The sequence below is a fragment of the Homo sapiens genome, chromosome 22 (assembly GCF_000001405.40).
Source record: "Homo sapiens chromosome 22, GRCh38.p14 Primary Assembly".
Lineage (NCBI taxonomy): Eukaryota > Metazoa > Chordata > Mammalia > Primates > Hominidae > Homo > Homo sapiens.
The window spans coordinates 29,934,526-29,954,542 of record NC_000022.11 but is presented as its reverse complement, the minus strand read 5'-3'; the positions used below and the strand labels follow the sequence as shown (position 1 = coordinate 29,954,542).

Sequence of the window (20,017 nt, the reverse complement as noted above, 5' to 3'; positions counted from 1 at the left end):
GTAGGTGGGCTTAATGCTGGCAAAGACTATTCTTCCCAGTAACCACAGTCAAACATCTGCTTGGTTAGAAACAGTGTGTCATTGTGAAACATTGCGAGCAAATTAAAAACTGCTCATGCCTCTTAGGACTATTTGTCAGATAAGGGCCATGTAGACAGGGCGTGGTGGCTCATGCCTATAATCTTAGCACTCTGGGAGGCCGAAGTGGGAGGACTGCTTGAGACCAGCCTATACAACAAAGAAATACCCCCATCTCTACAAAAAATAAAAATAAAATAAAATAAAATTTTTTAATTAGCCAGCCATGGTGGCACACATTTGTAGTCCCAGGTACTCGGGAGGCTGAGGCAGGAGGGTTGCTTGAGCCCAGGAGTCCGAGGTTGCAGCGAGCTATGATTACAATGCTGTACTCTCAGCCTGGATGACAGTGAGACCTCGTCTCTTTTAAATTTAAGAGACAAAAAAAAAAAAAAAAAAAAAAAAGACTCATTTGAAAGAAAAAAAAAGGGCCAAGTAGAGGTGAGTCTGAAAGAAGCTCTCTGGTACCATAAGGTACCTTCCCATGATACCAGTCATGTATATACCTTAAGGAATAAGAGTAGTTATGTTTGGGTAACCTTGAACATTCACGTATTAGTAGAGGTAGCAGAATGTAATGTGGTTGCATTAAATCTAAGCAATTACCTAAAAATAACAAGGGATGCTTAAACACATTAAGCACTAACGAACAGACAAACAGGGAAGAGGGGTGGGCAGGGTTGTTAGGTTCCATCTCCAAGAGGGGTATAAATAAATACACCTTTCTGGAAGTTATCTGAAATAAGAGGGTAAAACTTTCACCATCACATATTGGTACACATATTGTCCCATATGGACAGGATTTTGTCCATTGTAAAAGATAACCCTGAAGGAGTAAAAATATACTAAATTATTAAATACTACAGTATTGGATATCATCATGCAGCTTTCACTGGAGAGGGGGACCTAACACAATATACTCTAAGTCCCTTTCTGTAAAATAATGAGGTAATGACTAAAACGAAGGGCACAGAGGCCCTAAGAAGGCCAAAAAGGAATGGACATATTTAGCACCTACACAGAACTGTTTATGTGATCATCGATGTGCCACCTAGCACATCAGCTTCAACAAGGGCAAAGAGGCACACCAATTTGTACCGTTTATATAATAAAAGAACCCCAGCTACAAAAACTAGTAAGTCTGAACCAAATTCATGAGGGAAAACTAAGAGGCTCTGGCCAGGCCTCCTAAAATGTTGAGGGGTACTGGGGACTAAAGCAGCACTTTTTTGGCTGAGATACACTTTAACTTCAAAAGAACAACAGAATACTTTCTACATAGTCTTGTCTTTCAAATGAACGATAATTAAGAGTCAAAACCTTAAGAAGGCAACACTGAATAATTTTAAAACAATCTTTTCACTTTCGCTGTTAAAATAGATTTTTTTACACATGCATTTAATATTAAGAAACAGATCCAGAGAAAAATTTGAGTGTAGAGGCAGTATTTTAAAAATTCAAGAGGTGCAAAATTTTAAGAAGTAGATTTACAACCGCCACAATTTTAGGTGATTTTTTTCAGCTTGTTAGTGTTTCCTTTCTTATGTCTATTAACTTTTCACATATCAGAAACTAGAATTCTGTAGCATGTTGGGTAAGACCATTCTATGGTGGGAAGAGAAATTAATCATGAGCATTAACCAAAACCCACTGTGTAAAACTACTATAGGTTAGTCTTACTCCCTGCTCAAATTTTCTAAAACCTCTGTTGTTGAAGTCAACTATAAATGAAAACAGACGAGCAGAGAGTTAAAAGCATGGCTACATTCAGCTACTGTGGTAAGTGGTGGATGTTCATTCATCGTGTTTTTCTGAGTGATGGGCACTATTCTAGGAACTAGAAATACAGCAATGAACAAAACAAAGTTCCTACCCTTACACAACTGCCATTCCAGGGTCAGGTGTGATATCCTCACAGGGCTCAACGCTCCTAGTGTGACTTTTTCCCTATTGATGACCATGCATTGAAAAAGATAAAACAAATATAAATATAAAATTCTGTCATTGTCCTGGTTCAATGAGACCTCCAACTAACATGATTTTAAAAAAAAAAACACACACACACACCAGAAGCTATGTGTCTTTTCTATCTCTTTGGAAACATTAAGGTCTGGAAGTTTTCAGGGTTCCAGATGCAACTTCATGATCAGCATACTGCATTACTCTGCCAGCTGTGGGGCACAGATAAGCTGCTAAAATATTATCATTTCCTAAGCAAGAAACAACCATCCTCTCCCGAGGGGGAAAAAAATCTAGTAAGTTGTCAGAATCCAAGCTGAACTCCAAGTTATAATCATTTCTTGTATCAAAAAACCTTTACTCAAGGCGGGTAGATGGCTTCAGCCTAGGAGTTCGAGACCAGCCTCGGCAACATGATGAAACCATCATCTACAAAAAAACCCACAAAAATTAGCTGGGCGTGGTGGCACATGCTTGTAGTCCCAGCTACTAGGAGGCTGAGGTGGGCGGATTACTTCAGCCCAGGAGGCAGAGGTTGCAGTGAGCCATGATCGAGCCACTACACGACACTCCACTTGATAGAGTGAGAGACTGTCTCAAAAAAAAAAAAAAAAAACCTTTACTTGTAATAAATCACTTGAACCAGCAACACTTAAGATAATTTCCACTATTAACAAGTGAAAACTCTGTTTCAATAGATAATGACCAAAAGATCAATCATGTGTAAGTATGTAACTACATACGAGGTACAGAGTATGTTGTTTATTCTTCATTTACATAAATTGACCTTTTTAATGTGGGAAAGGTTCTAAATACATTCTTCAAAAGAAGTTCTGCAATAGACAGAATCTGAAACAGTAGATTAGTGATTAATGCTTAAAAATCACTCGTCTTCATTTAGTGGCGTTTCCAGATGTAAACCCAAAAATGTGAGAAATGAAAAGCAAAGTAATTACACACTAACATTTTTAGACAACAGGCTGGTTGCATTTCACATGCACCTTATTGCTTTATACATCTCAACAGGGAAGAGGAGGCAGCCCTGACCATGTTCTCAGAAAAGATTAACTGTAAGTAAACCAACCTTAACAAATTTCATTGTTACCCTTCTAAATAACTTATTTTACAAGCATTTTCCTTTTAAACTCAACCCTTATACAAGAGATAGGGGGTAGGGGAATATCAGCCATATATAATATCTTTAGCAGCAGAAGAGATTAAAACCAAAGATCACATACAATCTGCTAAAAACGGTAAAAATTAAATTTTTAAGAATGAATATAAAAGTATATGTTCTGATTTGCTCCTTATATTCCCTTCTACATGCAGAACACATTCACTTTATACTTTTTTTTTGAGACTGAGTCTCACTCTATGGCCAGGCTGGAGTGCAATGGCGCGATCTTGGCTCACTGCAACCTCTGCCTCCTGGGTTCAAGCAATTCTCCTGCCTCAGCCTCCCAAGTAGCTGAGATTACAAGCTCATGCCACCACGCCCAGCTAATTTTTGTATTTTCAGTAGAGACGGGGTTTCACCACGTGGGCCAGGATGGTCTCCATCTCTTGACCTCGTGATCCACCTGCCTCGGCCTCCCAACGTGCTAGGATTACAGGCGTAAGCCACTGCGCCCGGCCCACTTTATACTTTTAACTCAGATATACTGATATATCATTAACAAGATGGTAAGGAAGTTCTGTAAGTAATCTGTAAAGTTATTTTCTGAATCTATGTCCTCTATGAAATATCACAAGGTAGGCATTATTTTACTATAGAAATTAAGAGTTTAAAATCTAATTTTATAAGGCAGCATTTAGGTTTACCATCTGAAAGAAATGTTCCCAGCCAGTCGTGGTGGTGGCCCATGCCTATAATCCCAGTACTCTGGGAGGCTGAGATGGGCAGATCACGCGGTGAGGAGTTTGAGACCGGCCTGACTAACATGGTGAAACCCCGTCTCTACTAAAAATACAAAAATTATCTGGGCATGGTGGTGTGCATCTGTAATCCCAGCTACTCAGGAGGCTGAGGCAGCAGAATTGCTTGAACCCAGGAGGCGGAGGTTGCAGTGAGCTGAGATCACGCCACTGCACTCCAGCCTGGGCGACAGAGTGAAATTCCATCTCAAAAAATAAAAAAATAAATAAAAAAATAAAAAACAGAAATGTTCCCTATCTCCTAAGGAAAAAACCCTTATAATTTCACAGAAAACAAAAGACATACTTAAATCTGAGTTGTTCAGAAATCATAGAAAATCCAGACATTCAAGCATTAGAAATTAACTGAGTTTAAAGCCACGCAGAATCATTTTATCTAAGTGCCAGAGGTACTTCAATATTTATAACTGCTTTGGAAAGATCAGAAAGACTAGCTCCAGCCTCGGAAAAAGGTTTCCTGACTTTTGTTCTTTTGACTATTTCCAAGGTCTACCTTTGGGAAATTAACAGAAGGCAAATTCTTGCACACTCATTCATGTCCTGCTTCTTGCTCTCAGTTAACCTCTGGTGAAGAGGAAAGAAGTTAACTACAATTCCTCCTGTTCTCCCCGACACCTTGCCCCAAATCAGTGTCTTCAATAGCAATGCCTAAATCAAATGGAAATAAAAGATATTCTAGAAATTCATACTTCCTTGGAAGTATGGAAACTTAAATTTTCCTAATTATAATCTTGTGATGACTTCTGCCCCTCTTAAACATACATAATTTTATCTTTAACACTAGACTGACGACTCTCCTTCCTCCCTCATACCAATCAAAGAATAAAATCTTAATTTCATTTTCTTGGACAAAAAGACCCAAAATAATCAATCTCCACGAAGAGGAGTAGTTTTAAAAACAGGTTCTCAAAAAGTTTTTTTTTAATAAGGCTTAAATTAAGAGCTCCTATTCTCACGTACTCAACAGAAAACTAATCAATGAGACAGGCAGCAAAGGCCAGAAATGTGGAATGTGTGTGTTTTTTGTGGGTTTATGTGTACGTGTGTTGTTTTTTTTTTTTGGGGGGGGGCGCGGGGGACAGAGTCTTACTTTATCACCCAGGCTTGAGTGCAGTGGCATGATCTCGGCTCACTGCAACCTCTGCCTCCTGGGTTCCAGCGATTCTCCTGCTTCAGCCTCCTGAATAGCTGGGACTACATGTGCCTGCCACCGCCACCACACCAGGCTAATTTTTGTACTTTTAGTACAGATGGGGTGTTTCACCATGTTGGCCAGGCTGGTCTCGAACTCCTGACCTCAGGTGATCTGCCCGCCTTGGCCTCCCAAAGTGCTGGGATTACAGGCATGAGCCACCACGCCTGGCGCGCGTGCACGCGCACGCATGTGTGTGTGTTTTAAGACAGGGCCTCGGGGGGGGGGGGGGGGGTGTGTGTGTGTGTGTGTGTGTGTGTGTGTGTGTGTGTGTGTGTGTTTTAAGACAGGGCCTCGCTGTCGCCCAGGCTAGAGTGCAGTGGCATGATTGTGGCTCACTGCAGCATCAACCTTTCAGGCTCAAGCGATCCTCTCACTCCAGCCTCCTGAGTAGTTGGGACTACAGACACATGCCACCATGCCCGGCTCATTTTTACTGTTGTGGTTTTTTGTAGAGATGTGGTCTCATTGGTCTTGAACTCCTAGGCTCAAGCAATCCTCCTGCCTCAGCCTCCCAAAGTGTTGGAATTACAGGCATGAGTCATAGCACCTGGCTGGGTTTTTTGGCTTTTTTTTTTTAGACAATAATATGTTTTTATTATTTCATGATAAAAACATCAGTATCTTTTTGAAAGGTGCAAAATTTACACTGCTTATTCTAATATGCTTTGTTTCTAGATCTTACCACAAAAAGACAAATTTCTAAACTCCATCCTTTTTATATTATCCCTCTCCCTTCACAGTTGCCTAAGAGGTTTCTTTTCCAGGAAGACAACTTAATTTGAAGGCTGGCTTGCCATTAGAACTCAAGAGTACGCCCATGTATAAATAAGCATGCCATTCCTATTCTGTGTAGGTATTTGAGATATTAAACATAAATTCTAGAAGACATTTGGAAGTAAACTACACTAAAAAAATATCTATCAGTATCCCAAACCTAGCTAACCTGCATACTGCTTATCAGTATAAGAATGTTTTATTTTGAATGTTAATGAATGTTAATGTTATTGTCTCCCCATCTGTAAACAAAAAGATTCTTAAAAGTTCTGGCGCCTGCCACACAGTTTTATGCAGAATAACAGACATCAAAAATCGACAAGGACCAGAAAGCTGAATGAAAATGCAGATGCATTCTTTAAGCATACAACTCAACAATGAAAAGGAACAGATTTGAATTTTTAACTGCTGTCATCACAATTGAAAACTGTCCAACTCTAGCTAGCCAAGAGGTACATTCAAAGACAGACAAAATTCAAATACTAGAGGCTATGTGAAATGAAAATAATCCCCTCTTCTACTGGCCTAGTTAAAATTTGTATTCTGGCATTTAGGTAGGGGGCTACTCATATTTTTGAAAACACGCCAATGAAAACACCAACAACCTCCAATAACCACACACCACAATGCAGGCTCTGTTTAAATGATGAGCTCAAATACCTACCCTTTCAAAGCAATTCTCAGATTATTAAATGGCCAAAAGACCAGAAACTGTCTTGACCTGAACACCATCTTCAATTCAACATACCCCCAGAAAAGACCCACCTTTTTAAAATTAGTAATATTTATCTCATGTAAACTAGAGGAATACATGTGACTGCCATCCAAATACATACAGGAAGAAAATGAACTTTTTCAGCTAAAGCCAAAAAGTAGAATTCATCAACATGCTTTACTTAAGGAAGGCAAAAGTACCAAGTTAAATCAGAGCTAACAAGTAGTAAAAGGAATTTCTCCCCGTATGCTTTTAAGTAACTGCATTTAAATCAATGACTCAGAAAAATTCAGACAGACCAAACCTTGAATTTAAAAAATTCTTACACCATCATTTTACTTAACTCAGAAAACTGGGAGGCAGGGTTTTTTGTTTTTTTTTTTTAATTTAGCATACTGGCTAAATTAACTTTTGTCATAAGAGGAAAACTTTCTCAAACATACAGCCTAATAGAAACCTATCCTCATACATTATGGAGTATATTAAGTATATTGTTTATACATCAAAAACTTAAGTACTATACAATTCAGCATTTAAAAAAAACAATCCACACAGACAAATAATTGGAATTCTCAAGTTGCCAACAAGCCTGTGAATTAAGAATAATATTACATTTCCAAAGTCAATCTGAGCTACTTATTTTTCTTGCATTTTCCAACATAAAAATCATTTGTCAAAGGAGCTATGTCGGAAAGAGGAGAAAGAAATAATATGTTTATCCAAGCTCTCTGGTAAAATCAAACCTGTGATTGGATAACAGATTCTGCACTACTACTGTTCAGTCAGAACATGTATATATGTTAAAATGCTGGAAACATAAGAACCTTGGAAAGAACTTACACTTTTTCTTTTCTAATGATTTACATCTTCAACAGTTTCCTTACAATCTAACCTAAACCCTATATTCTAAAGCATATAGTTATTTTTTCAATGGGAGTACTCTATTACCAGTATTTCCATGCCGTGGTATATATTATCATTGGTGATATCTGAGATTAAACAGAACATAAACAAGTATCTTTTTAAGAACTATATTTGCGCTACTGAGCATTTTTAAAATTTTACCTTTTATTCAGTCTGAGATGCCATCAAATTCAAGACACACTATTAATTTACATACCACTAGAAAAAAAAAAAACTTTTCCAATTCAACCATAACATGCCATTGTCTTTAAGATGCACTCCCATTTGGTATACAGATACTGCAAAAAAAATATGCAGGTAGTACATTAATGAGAGGTTTGAATGATATTGCCCTAATACTAATACAAATTCTTCATATAGAGAAACTGCTACAAAAATCATTTCCTCCGGATTCCTTGTTCCCTCATTTTTCTTCATAAGACATTTTTCTAATCCATTAACAGTCTGAAACCATTCATGAACAGGCCTGACCTGGTGCACATGCAACAGGATCAGTCCTTCCCACAGAAATGATAAGCCTTTCTCTCGAGCCCTCAGCTACTAGCAGAGAGCTCCCCAAATAACCCTCAACCCTGACTGCTATTGCTAGCACATGACCACAGATTACCAGATCTCCTCTAGGTTGTCAATCTAGCACCTTTACCTCTATCCTAAACAGAATCCATCATCTGCCTCCCTCTCCTCTCTCTTCTCCCCACCACAGCTCCTTAATACTCCTTTGGGAATCACAGTTGTTCTAGGTATTCCAGTCTAGAAACCATTTGACTCTATTTCCAATGACAAAATCTGACACCAATTTTCACTGCTTTCTTTGAAATGCCTAATTCTCATCTTTCCATTGCATGTTATCAGTATCACTGCCACTTTTTCCATCAAATTGACTCTCAAACATTTGCTTATATTTAATTATACCTTGATTACCTTACACACACACACACACAAATATATACACACACACACAAGTTTTACAATTGAATTTATAACATAACTACTCTGGTCAAATCTTTTAACACTCCCTGTCGTAGTCCTTCAATAGAAGTTTTCCTAAAATTTCTCTCCAAAAAATAAACCCTCTGACATTACATTTCCAAATTAAACAAGTTGGGACTGCTTTTAAAATTTTTTCATCCATAAATTTTTTTTAACTGCTATTATCTTTGCCTGATTCCCTCATCCCACTTTATCCATCTGGACAAGGCCCATGTGTCCTTCAATTCTTGGCTCGAAATTTTTTTTTTTTTTTTCTTTTTCATTTTAAAGACTGGAGTCTCACTCTGTTGCCCAGGCTGGAATGCAGTGGCACGATCACAGCTTACTGCAGCCTCAGGATCCCAGACTCAAGCAATCCTACTGTCTCAGCCTCCCAAGTAGCTGGGACCACAGACATATACCACCATGCCTGGCTACATTTTTTTTTTTTAATTTTTTATAGAGACAGGGATCTCGCTTTACCCAGGCTGGTGTCAAACTAGCTTCAAGCTATCCTCCCACCTTGGCCTCTCAAAGTGTTGAGATTACAGATGTAAGCCACCGCACCTGGCCAGCTTGAAAACATTTTTACTGCAAAAGCTTCCCTGCAGAGTTCACTGTGCCATTTCAATATAGTTATTCTTATTTATAATGCTTACTACATGTCATTATAATTATTTACATTTCCAGGCTGGGTGCAGTGGCTCACAACTGTAATTCCACCACTTTAAGAGGGCGAGGCAGGAGAACTGCTGGAGCCTAGGAGTTCGAGACCAGCCTGGGCAACACGGCAAAATCCCACCTCTATGAAAAATTCGCCAGGCCTCATGGCACGTGCCTGTGGCCCCAGCTACTTAGAAGGCTGAGGCTAGAGAATCACTCGAGTCCAGGAGGCTGAGGATGCAGTGAGTGGTGATCATCCCTCTGCACTCCAGCCTGGGTGACAGAGGAGACCCTGTCTAAAAAATAATATTTAAACAATTCATTTCCAGAAATAAAATGTGGATATTGTATTTACTTTGATTATGGAGAAATCTGCTATTATTATAAATCACACACAGCAGCAATTTCAGCAATGAACCTATTTATACAGTTTATTCATTGAATCAATGACTGAAATATCTATTTAGCAAATATAAAAGTAAACATTTCTAAAAGAAAAGCTTAAATCAGAAATACACCAATTGAAAATAACAGTTCTAATGAGTTTACATGTTCTGTGATCTCAGTTTGTAAAGATCTACTGCAAATAAAGTTTTATCACAATAAAAAGTCACTAATCAACTGGCTAACATACAACATTAAAGATAACCGAGCAAAGTAGCTTGCAAAACTTTAAAATGTAACAGAAATAAGAAAAAGAACAGCACCTAATTTCCAAAAGTCATGCTGCCTCTGCATACCAAGCTACATATGTCCTGAGGATAAAAGAATTTGTTTGGAAGTCCACAAATACTATCCTCCTCCAACTCAATTTGATCTCTATCTACTTCCTGTCTTCTTGTGGGGGTAGGAAGAAAAGACAAAAGTAAAAGTCTGACTTTTTCCCCTATTATCAAAAACATGACTTTATGTGAGGATACTTAATCTAGAATAAAACATCACAAAACTAACACGTAAGTCAGATAGAAGTAAAAGTTAATTCTCCCCTAGGACAATGACAAGTTCTTGGGGTAGATAAAAGCAGTGGAGATAAGTATTAGATTGGTGCAAAAGTAATTACAGTTTTTGCCATCATTTTTAATGGCAAAAACCACAATTACTTTTGCACCAATCTAAAAGATATTAATGTCTCAAAAGGAACCACGAAACACTGTTCTCACTCTTCTGGGCTTTAAGACCCCGCTAGCTCTTGCCTTAAGTTGTCCACACGGAGGCCGGATGCAGTGGCTCACACCTGTAATCCCACCACTTTGGGATGCCAAGGCGGGAGGATCACCTGAGCTCACAAGTTCGAGAACAGCCTAGGCAACATGGCAAAATCCCATCTCTACAAAAAAAAATTAGCCAGTCATGGTGGTGCATACCTGTAGTCCCAGCTACTCGGGCAGCTGAGGTGGGAGAATGGCGTAAGCCCAGGAGGCAGAGTTTGCAATGAGCCAAGATCGTGCTACTACACTCCAGCCTGGGCAATCGAGCCAGACCTTGTCTCAAGAAAGAAAGAAAGAAAAAAAAAAGTTGTCCACATGAAGGAGCTGGCATTGGGGGTGGGGTTTGGGGGTGGGGAAGGGGAAGCAAAATGCCTAAACTAAAAGTCTATCATGTTCTAAGACTATAAGAGCCTCATTTTGCTATATGAGACATAGCAAAATAATCCTTTAAGTCATAGGATACAGATTCAAAGTAGATCTGGAATAGTCATAACATACCAATTCCTTCCTTCCCTGACAAGCTCACCTTACCCAACACACCTTCTCCAAAAACTTCAGCTAAAATTTCTATGAACTTATAAACTTATATACTAAAAGAGTGGCAAACGTAGACAAGAAAAATACACACATCAAGGCCAGGCGCGGTGGCTCACGCCTGTAATCCCAGCACTTTGGGAGGCCGAGACGGGCGGATCACGAGGTCAGATCGAGACCATCCTGGCTAACATGGTGAAACCCTATCTCTACTAAAAATACAAAAAAATTAGCCGGGCGTGGTGGCAGGTGCCTGTAGTCCCAGCTACTCAGGAGGCTGAGGCAGGAGAATGGCATGAACCTGGGAGGCAGAGCTTGCAGTGAGCCGAGATGGCGCCACTGCACTCCAGCCTGGGTGACAGAGTGAGACTCTGTCTCAAAAAAAAAAGAAAAAAAGAAAAATACACACATCATTGTTGCGGAAAGTCAGGGACCCCGAACGGAGGGACCAGCTGAAGCCATGACAGAACATAAATTGTGAAGATTTCATGGACATTTATTAGTTCCCCAAATTAATACTTTTATAATTTCTTACACCTGTCTTTACTGCAATCTCTGAACATAAATTATGAAGATTTCACAGACACTTATTACTTCCCCAACCAATACCCTTGTGATTTCCTATGCCTGTCTTTACTTTAATCTTTTAATCCTGTCATCTTCGTAAGCTGAGGAGGATGTATGTCACCTCAGGACCCTGTGATGATTGCATTAATTGCACAAGTTGTTTGTAGAGCATGTGTGTTTGAACAATATGAAATCTGGGCACCTTGAAAAAAGAACAGGATAACAGCAATGTTCAGGGAACAAGAGAGATAACCTTAAACTCTGACTGCCGGTGAGCCGGATGGAACAGAGCCATATTTTTCTTTCAAAAGCAAATGGGAGAAATATCGCTGAATTCTTTTTCTCAGCAAGGAACATCCCTGAGAAAGAGAATGCGTCCCTGAGGGGAAGCCTCTGAAATGGCCGCTTTGGGGACGGCTATCTTTTACGGTCGTAGCGGAGGGATGAAATAAGCCCTAGTCTCCCGTAGTGCTCCCAGGCTTATTAGGAAGAGGAAATTCCCGCCTAATAAATTTTGGTCAGACCAGTTGTCTGCTCTCAAACCCTGTCTCCTGATAAGATGTTATCAATGACAATGCGTGCCCGAAACTTCATTAGCAATTTTAATTTTGCCCCGGTCCTGTGGTCCTGTGATCTCGCCCTGCCTCCATTTGCCTTGTGATATTTTATTACCTTGTGAAGCAAATGAAGCATGTGATCTCTGTGACCCACACCCTATTCGTACACTCCCTCTCCTTTTGAAAATCGCTAATAAAAACTTGCTGGTTTTGTGGCTTAGGGGTCATCACGGAAGCTGCCGACATGTGACATCTCCCCTAGACATTCAGCTTTAAAATTTCTCTCTTTTGTAGTCTTTCCCTTTATTTCTCAGACTGGCTGACACTTAGGGAAAATAGAAAAGAACCTACGTGAAATATCGGAGGTGAATTTTGCCTGATACATCATGTGGACCAAGGTGTCACAGAAGGGTCAACATATCCAAAAACTAAAGGCATTCAAGATAGAAAATACCGTTTTTGTTTTTGTTTTTTCTTTTTAAGAGATGGCATCTCACTCTGTTGCCTACACTGGGGTGCAGTGGCACAATCGTAGCTCACTGCAACTTCAGACTCCTGGGACTCAAGGGATCTTCCTACCATGGCCTCCCAAGTAGCCAGGATTACAGGCACTCACCACCATGTCTGGTTAATTATTTTATTTTTTTGTAGAGATGCCACTGAATTGTACATTTTAAAATGGTTAAGATGGTAATAAATGTCATACATATTTTCCCACAATTAAAATTTTATTTTAAAAATCTCTACTTATCAAAAGACACCATTAAGAAAATGAAAAGGAAAGTCATGTAGGAGAAGTATTCTCAAATCAGTCATCAGGGAGACAAAAAATGAAAACCACAATGAGATACCCTTTTACATCCACTGAACTAACTAAAATTAAAGAAACTGGCAAGAGCAAATGTTGGTGAGGACATCGAGTAACTGGAATTCATACACGGCTCGTAAAGTGTAAAATGGCATTACCACTTTGGAGGACAGTTTGGCAACTGCTTATGAGGTTAAGCATACATTTATCCTATGATCCAACAATTCTACTCCTGGGTATTACCCAAGAGAAATGAAAGCACATTATCACAAAAAGGTCTGGACACAAATGTTCACAGCAACCTTACTCATAACAGCCCCAAACTGGAAACAACCCCAAATATCCAGTAAGTGATCAGATAAACAAATTGTGGTATATTTCTATAATGGATTGCCATACTCAGCAATAAAAATGAACAAACTACTTACTGATACAACCTGGATAAGTCTCAAAAGCATGATGTTGACTCAAAGCAACAAGTTAGAAAAGAATATTGTATGATTCCATTTACATGAAGTTCAAGGACGAAACTAATTTTTAGTGATAGGAAAGAGAATAGTAGTTTGGATTAGGGCAGAGAAAGACTAACTAGAAGCGGTGCATAAAGGAACTTTCTCATGTGATGTAAAAGTTCTGTATCATGATTGAGGCAGTGGCTGCAGTGGTGCAGTGTCTCTAGAAAAGATCATAAAATCAAGATCATATGCACTAATCTCCCAAGGTCAGTGTTATATTTTTCAAATATTTTTCTGAAGGAATGCATATGAACTCCTGGTCTCTCTTATAACCAAAGGGAGGTCACCAGTGTTTTCAACCTCAGCAAAGTCTGAGGTTCCTTGAAAGTACTAAAATGTCCCTAAATATAATTAGCCTCCAAGGAGATCAAGTCCATATGATGTGATCAAGGGCATGTGCTTTACGATGGCATTAGTCAGTCACCTGGCACCTCTTGCCAAGGAAACTGTTCAACCACTTGCTAGTCTATTGGCAATAAGCAACAATTTTTTTAAAAAGGTGGGGCAGGGTGAGAAAAGCTGGACCTTAAAGAATGTTCCGATTTTTCCTATTCAGGAGGAAAAAAAAAAGTTCTAGTTTCAACTCCCATCAAACTTCTCATCTGTTAAAAGTACAGTCATTGTCACACGCATCCGTGTGAAGAGAGTCCACCAAACAGGCTTTGTGTGAGCAACAAGGCTGTTTGTTTCACCTGGGTGCAGGCGGGCTGAGTCCAAGAAAAGATTCAGCAAAGGGTGGTAGGATTATCATTAGTTCTTACAGGTTTGGGATAGGCAGTGGAATTAGGAACAAATTTTTGTGGGCAGGGGGTGGATCTCACAAAGTACATTCTCAAGCGCAGGGAGAATATTACAAAGTATTTTTTTTTCTTTTGAAACGGAGTCTCGCTCTGTCCCCCAGGCTGGCGTGCAGTGGCACAATCTCGGCTCACTGCAAGTTCCGCCTCCCGGGTTCACGCCATTCTCCTTCCTCAGCCTCCGGAGTAGCTGGGACTACAGTCGCCCGCCACCACGCCCGGCTAATTTTTTTGTATTTTTAGCAGAGACGGGGTTTCACTGTGTTAGCCAGGATGGTCTCGATCTCCTGACCTCGTGATCTGCCCACCTCGGCCTCCCGAAGTGCTGGGATTACAGGCGCAAAGTACCTTCTTAAGGGCAGGGAAATATCACAAAGTACATGATCGCAAGGGCGGGGAGGGTGTATTGTCATAAGGTCAATTGATCAGTTAGGGTGGGGCAGGAACAGATTACAATGGTTGAATGTCATCTTTCATGGTTCTTCAGTTGCTTCAGGCCATCTGGATGTATACGGGCAGGTCACAGGAGATATGATGGCTTAGCCTGGGCAGAGTGGCCTGACAGTCCTACTCTTATTACTAACAGTTATAGCTGCTATCTGAAAGTCCATACTGCCTACGGCCATACCACCCTGAATGTTCCCAATCTCATCTGAAAGTCTACGCCAATTACGGTTCTTATTTTATAAAACAGTCAAGTAATACCTTCATACATATAGAAAGTCACTAAGGTCTACCTTGAAATTTAAGCAGTTTCACTAAAACATTAGTGACTCTAAAAGTCAGTGCTCAATTTCACCCACTGGGAAAACAAGCATATGGCTTTTGCTAAAAGTAGTTTTAGCTAACCTCAATGATTATGTCTGAAAAGGTTTATAGGATTATCTCAAGAGTGAGATAATCACAAAGTTTAAAATTAACAACTCAGGATTAATTTGAAAAGTCTATCTCTACAAGATTTCAATGTTTGAAAATAATAAAACTATCAGCTCCAACAAAGTCCCTTTCCCATCTTTTGGCCCCACGGTGTTTTGTTTTTATTTTATTTAAACCTATAATAAAAATAGTTTGAACCATGACACTCCTTAACCAGACCTTAAGTTAGGACACAAAAATACCATTGTAAAACAGTTTATTTTAAATTCCAGCGTGGACATATTTTCATCAAATACAAATCACAAAATATACAATTATGCAGCACAATTAGAAAACGTATAGTTTTCAGTTAGGCACAGTGACTCACTTCTGTAATCCCAGCACTTTGGGAGGCCGAGGCGGGTATATCATTTGAGGTCAGGAGTTCGAGACCAGCCTGGCCAATATGGTGAAACCCCGCCTCTACTAAAAATACAAAAATTAGCCGGGCGTGGTGGCGGGTGCCTGTAGTCCCAGCTACTCAGGAGGCTGAGGCAGGAGAATCGGTTGAACCCGGGAGGTGGAGGTTGTAGTGAGCTGAGATCACGACACTGCACTCTAGCCTGGGCATCAGAGTGAGACTCTGTCTCAAAAAAAAAATAATAAAATAAAAGTAAAGAAAATGTATAGTTTTCTAAATCACCTCTTGAAGAGGCCCTGTAAATTATGCAGCTGGTCCTGAGCAAACATTCTATGGAAAAGAAGAAAAGAATTTGCATATACCTTTACTCTAATGACCAAGAAAAATTTATCTCTATATGGTTCCACATCAGAGACTCAGATTTCGGAAAGGTCTGAATACCAGTGGGCTGAGGGAAGTCCCCAAATAGCAGTGAGCTATGGAAAAGAAGAAAAGAATTTGCATATACTTTACTCTAATGACCAAGAAAAATTTCTCTCTATATGATTCCACAACAGACACTCAGATTTTGGAAAGGTCTGAATACCAGCGGGCTGGGGGAAGTCCCCAAAGAGCAGTGAGACCTCTCCCTCAGCTGGTGTCCAGGCTCTTGACACTATCACAAGGAGAAATTCAGGAATGAGTCAGAAACAGTGAAAGTACGGAGATTTATGACAAAGCGAAAATTATAAACTCAAGAAAGGGGGGTGTGGGTATACTCAAGAGAAGGTTGTACCAAGCGGGTTGGTACTTCCATCTTTATGGGTTTCTTTACGCAAAGCATGGAATATTCAGGAAGATTCCAGGAAAACAGTTACGATTTCTCAGAACTGTAGTGCCACCCATTTCTACACCAAATATGGGTGTTCCTGGAACTGCATGGTGCTGGTGGGTATGTGATTTAGTATGTTAATGAGCATATAATGAGATCCTAGGTGAAACCTAGGTCAAATCCAGTGCCATGCTGGGTCAGTCTTAGCCAGCTTGGCCCACACTCTGGTTTTTTAAGGTCTTGTCAGCCCCTAGTTTATGCAGCTATTTCAATAGTTTCCTTTATGCTAGTCATGTAAAATTGCTGCCTGGAATTTTCTGTTCTCCTGTGACCACCCTGTATTATTCCTGTCTCAAACCTACTGAAGCATCAACTCAGTACAGACTGATGCCAAATTAGGAACCAACAACTAAAAAAACAGGCTTGTGAAAGTTTGCTCCATCATTTTTTAATTACTTCAAATCTTCTTGTACAATTTATGAAATGCATTTTGGGTTTTTGTCGGTTTTCTAAATTTATTTTTCTCAGGAGCATAGATTCAAGTTGCCCTGAATATATACTCCCTACGAAACGCATTTTGATGTGTTTACACTTGAGACTCAAGAATTATACATAGTGATACTATTCACCAAGTTTTATATTCTAAAAACTAGTGTTTTATAAAACAAATAAAGTTTGGGTGCGGCGGCACCTGTAGCCTATAGTCCCCGCTACTCGGGAGGCTGAGGCAGGAGGATCACTTAACCCCAGGAGCTCAAGCCTGCAGTAAGCTATGATTGTGCTGCTTGCACTTCATCCTGGGCAACAGAGCAAGACCCTGACTCAAAAAAAAAAAAAATCTGCAAAGTTTTTTGAAAGAAAAAAGTGAACAAGCACAAAAAAAGGAATAGAACAAATAGCTCCCAAGCCTCAAAACTGCTGTGACCAAAGGTAGACAGTATATGGTAAAGAAAGAAGTCTCTTCTTAGAAGAGAATGTCTTGGTATCGAGTAGGCGCTCAATGATTTTTACAGCCATTTAAAGAGTCAGTATCCTCCAGAGAAATAAGATTCAGCCCTAATGATAAGCATCTTAAAGCTGCAAATCCAAGTAAGTACAAGACAAAATGAAGCTTAACATTACTAGATATGACTAGAAAGATAACACAGAAAACTAATATATAATAACAAAAGCTTAATCCAATATTAAGAAGTATCTTAGTTTTGTCAGCTGTAGAAGGGGGGTGCTTGACAAAAAATTTAAGAAAAGGGGGGTAAAATATAAGCCTTTATATCTAAAACTCAAATCAAATTCTCCAGGATCAAATTCTCCTTTTAGCCAGTCAGTAATACGAAAAAACCTAACCATCTTAAAACTCAAGTGGATAGCATGAGGGGCCATATTTTTTAATATTACTATTTTATATTCTACTCAAAGAAATTAATTCACTTAGAAAACTGAAAAAAGTCTTTGGGAATATGAGAAAATACAGAGAATTTACAAAAGCAAATAAATGGCTATTGAATTGAAAATGTGGTGTCACTAAATAATGTTCCACTACAGATTACCTCTATTAAATGGTATCATTAAAGACACTGGCATTTTCAAGAAGTTAACAAAGCAAGAAACCCATTCATTCTAAAGTTGAACACTTATTAAATATCCTCCAGCCAAGCACTGCTTTCTACCTACTCTCTTAGAGTTTCTTTATTTCAGCATTGAAACAAATCTAATCTAACCACAGAGAATCAAGAAATCAGGTTTTCCATTAAACTCTCAGGCTCACCATCCTCAGAACTGGCATCTAGTACAGGAAAAAGCTCCAGGGCAGGAAGAAGTCTACTTGCCCTGCATTACTGAGCTGTAAGTTTATGTTGTTATGGGCACCAGCACAATAGAGCAAATATAAGAACAAGGAAGCAAAAAGCTGACCGGATAAGACAATCTGGTCCATGTGATCAGTTTATTAATGAGTCTGCAACTACCTAAAAGTTCCCAAGCATAACCAAATAATCTGACTTTCCCCAAAAAAATTCATTATGGGGTTACAGTTCAATACTATAAAAATATTAGATACATTAAGGAATATTTTATTCTTCAGCCTAATCTTGGTCTACATTACGATTGTAGGCTACAGAATAGAAAGAGATGAAAATCTAAGAGATAGCAGAAGGATAGTTGGTTTTGTCTCCATCTTCTAAACTTTTCCCCTAAAAGTGGGCATGGAGGCCGGGCACAGTGACTCACGCCTGTAAACCCAGCACTTTGGGAGGCCAAAGAGGGCGGATCATGAGGTCAGGAGATCCAGACCACCCTGGCTAATACGGTGAAACCCCGTCTCTACTAAAAATACTAAAAATTAGCCAGGCGTGGTGGCGGGCGCCTATAGTCCCAGCTACTCGGGAGGCTGAGGCAGGAGAATGGCGTGAACCTGGGAGGCAGAGCCTGCAGTGAGCCGAGATTGCACCACTGCACTCCAGCCTGGGCGACAGAGTGAGACACAGCATGACTCCGTCTCAAAAAAAAAAAAAAAAAAGTGGGCATGGAGAGAAGAGATCATTCAATCAGACAGTAAACCGCATCAGATATGGAAATTATTTTGTAAAAGTCATAACTGAGGAATAGATCTCCTGCTTTCCTTCTTTTATTCTATTCTCTACAATTTGTGGCAGTGTTACTTCTATTCTTTACCTCTTTGACCTAGTGGAGAAATATGACGTCTCGTTTTACTCTGCCGTATCATTTCAGTTTCTGCTGTTTTAAACAAGGCTTTCAAAAGGAATACTAGTGTGTAAGGTAAGAACTGAAAACATACACTAGCACTTTTTTAAATGTTAGTTTTTAACACATTCTTACACAGCTTTAAAGTCAGCCTGACCTTGTCTCAAAACCCAATTCAGGCATCTAGTAGTTCTGTAATCTTGAGCAAGTCACTTTTTCTTTCTCCTGCTTCCACTCCCAATGGTATCTTATGGTGTTACTGTGAGAATTAAGTGAGCTAATAAACAGGAACACTTCGAACTGTACATGCCATTTAGTAATCACATACATATTAGCTCTACCACTAATGTCCTATTGTAAATTGATCAAATACTATAGTACAAGCTGTATTTACCTCTCAAAAGAAATAGAATTATCTCCCCTGACAAAACAATCTCATGGGTTTATCAAAGAACAAACTAATGTACAACTTAAAAGCTCTTAAAACGTCTTCATTACAGAAGTATCCATTTCTTAATTCACAAGACACCTATAGTTAAAATATATTACACACAAAGCTCTGCTTAAATACTATAATAGAAAAATATATGCTTAATAAAAGTAGTCTAAATGGATAAATTACTTTGTTAAGCGAAACCAAACTCTGAATAAATACCATTATTTTCATACTTTAAAGCTATTATTTACTGAACTATGTGCCAATCACTGGGCTATGTACTTTTTACGCACTATCTTATTCAATCTTCATAGTTGTTGAAGGAGGTGCCACTTAACCCACTTAACAGTGAGGACTTCAAGGTTCCCAAGGATTCAATAACTTGTCCAAGGTCAAAGCTAGTATGTTTCTAGATTCTAATATAACAGGGTAGGACAAACAACTCACCATAATGGGACAAGATCAACCTGCATGCCCTAGTTTTCCCCTAAAATAGAATCTTTTCAAAGTCTCCAAATATTACAATCTATAATGACATTAAAAACTTAGATACTAAGGAAAAGAGACCACATTAGTGTAGATTTTTATATTAAAAT

The 20,017-nt window shown here is 39.2% G+C and overlaps 1 protein-coding gene across 3 annotated transcripts in view, besides 2 other annotated features; it reads right to left on the bottom strand.

Moving 5' to 3' along the window:
- Positions 1–20,017, bottom strand: part of MTMR3 (myotubularin related protein 3) — a 147,695-nt gene that overhangs the window by 76,326 nt on the left and 51,352 nt on the right. The window lies entirely within an intron of this gene.
- Positions 11,894–12,395: an enhancer, noted in NCBI's record as "NANOG hESC enhancer chr22:30338137-30338638 (GRCh37/hg19 assembly coordinates)". NCBI's record gives its function as "activates a minimal SCP1, AML or CMV promoter by ChIP-STARR-seq in naive H9 embryonic stem cells {active_cell/tissue: H9 hESC(naive)}" and the evidence as "EXISTENCE:reporter gene assay evidence [ECO:0000049][PMID:30033119]".
- Positions 15,986–16,035: an enhancer, noted in NCBI's record as "active region_18823". NCBI's record gives its function as "activates an Ori minimal core promoter by ATAC-STARR-seq in GM12878 lymphoblastoid cells {active_cell/tissue: GM12878}" and the evidence as "EXISTENCE:reporter gene assay evidence [ECO:0000049][PMID:35858748]".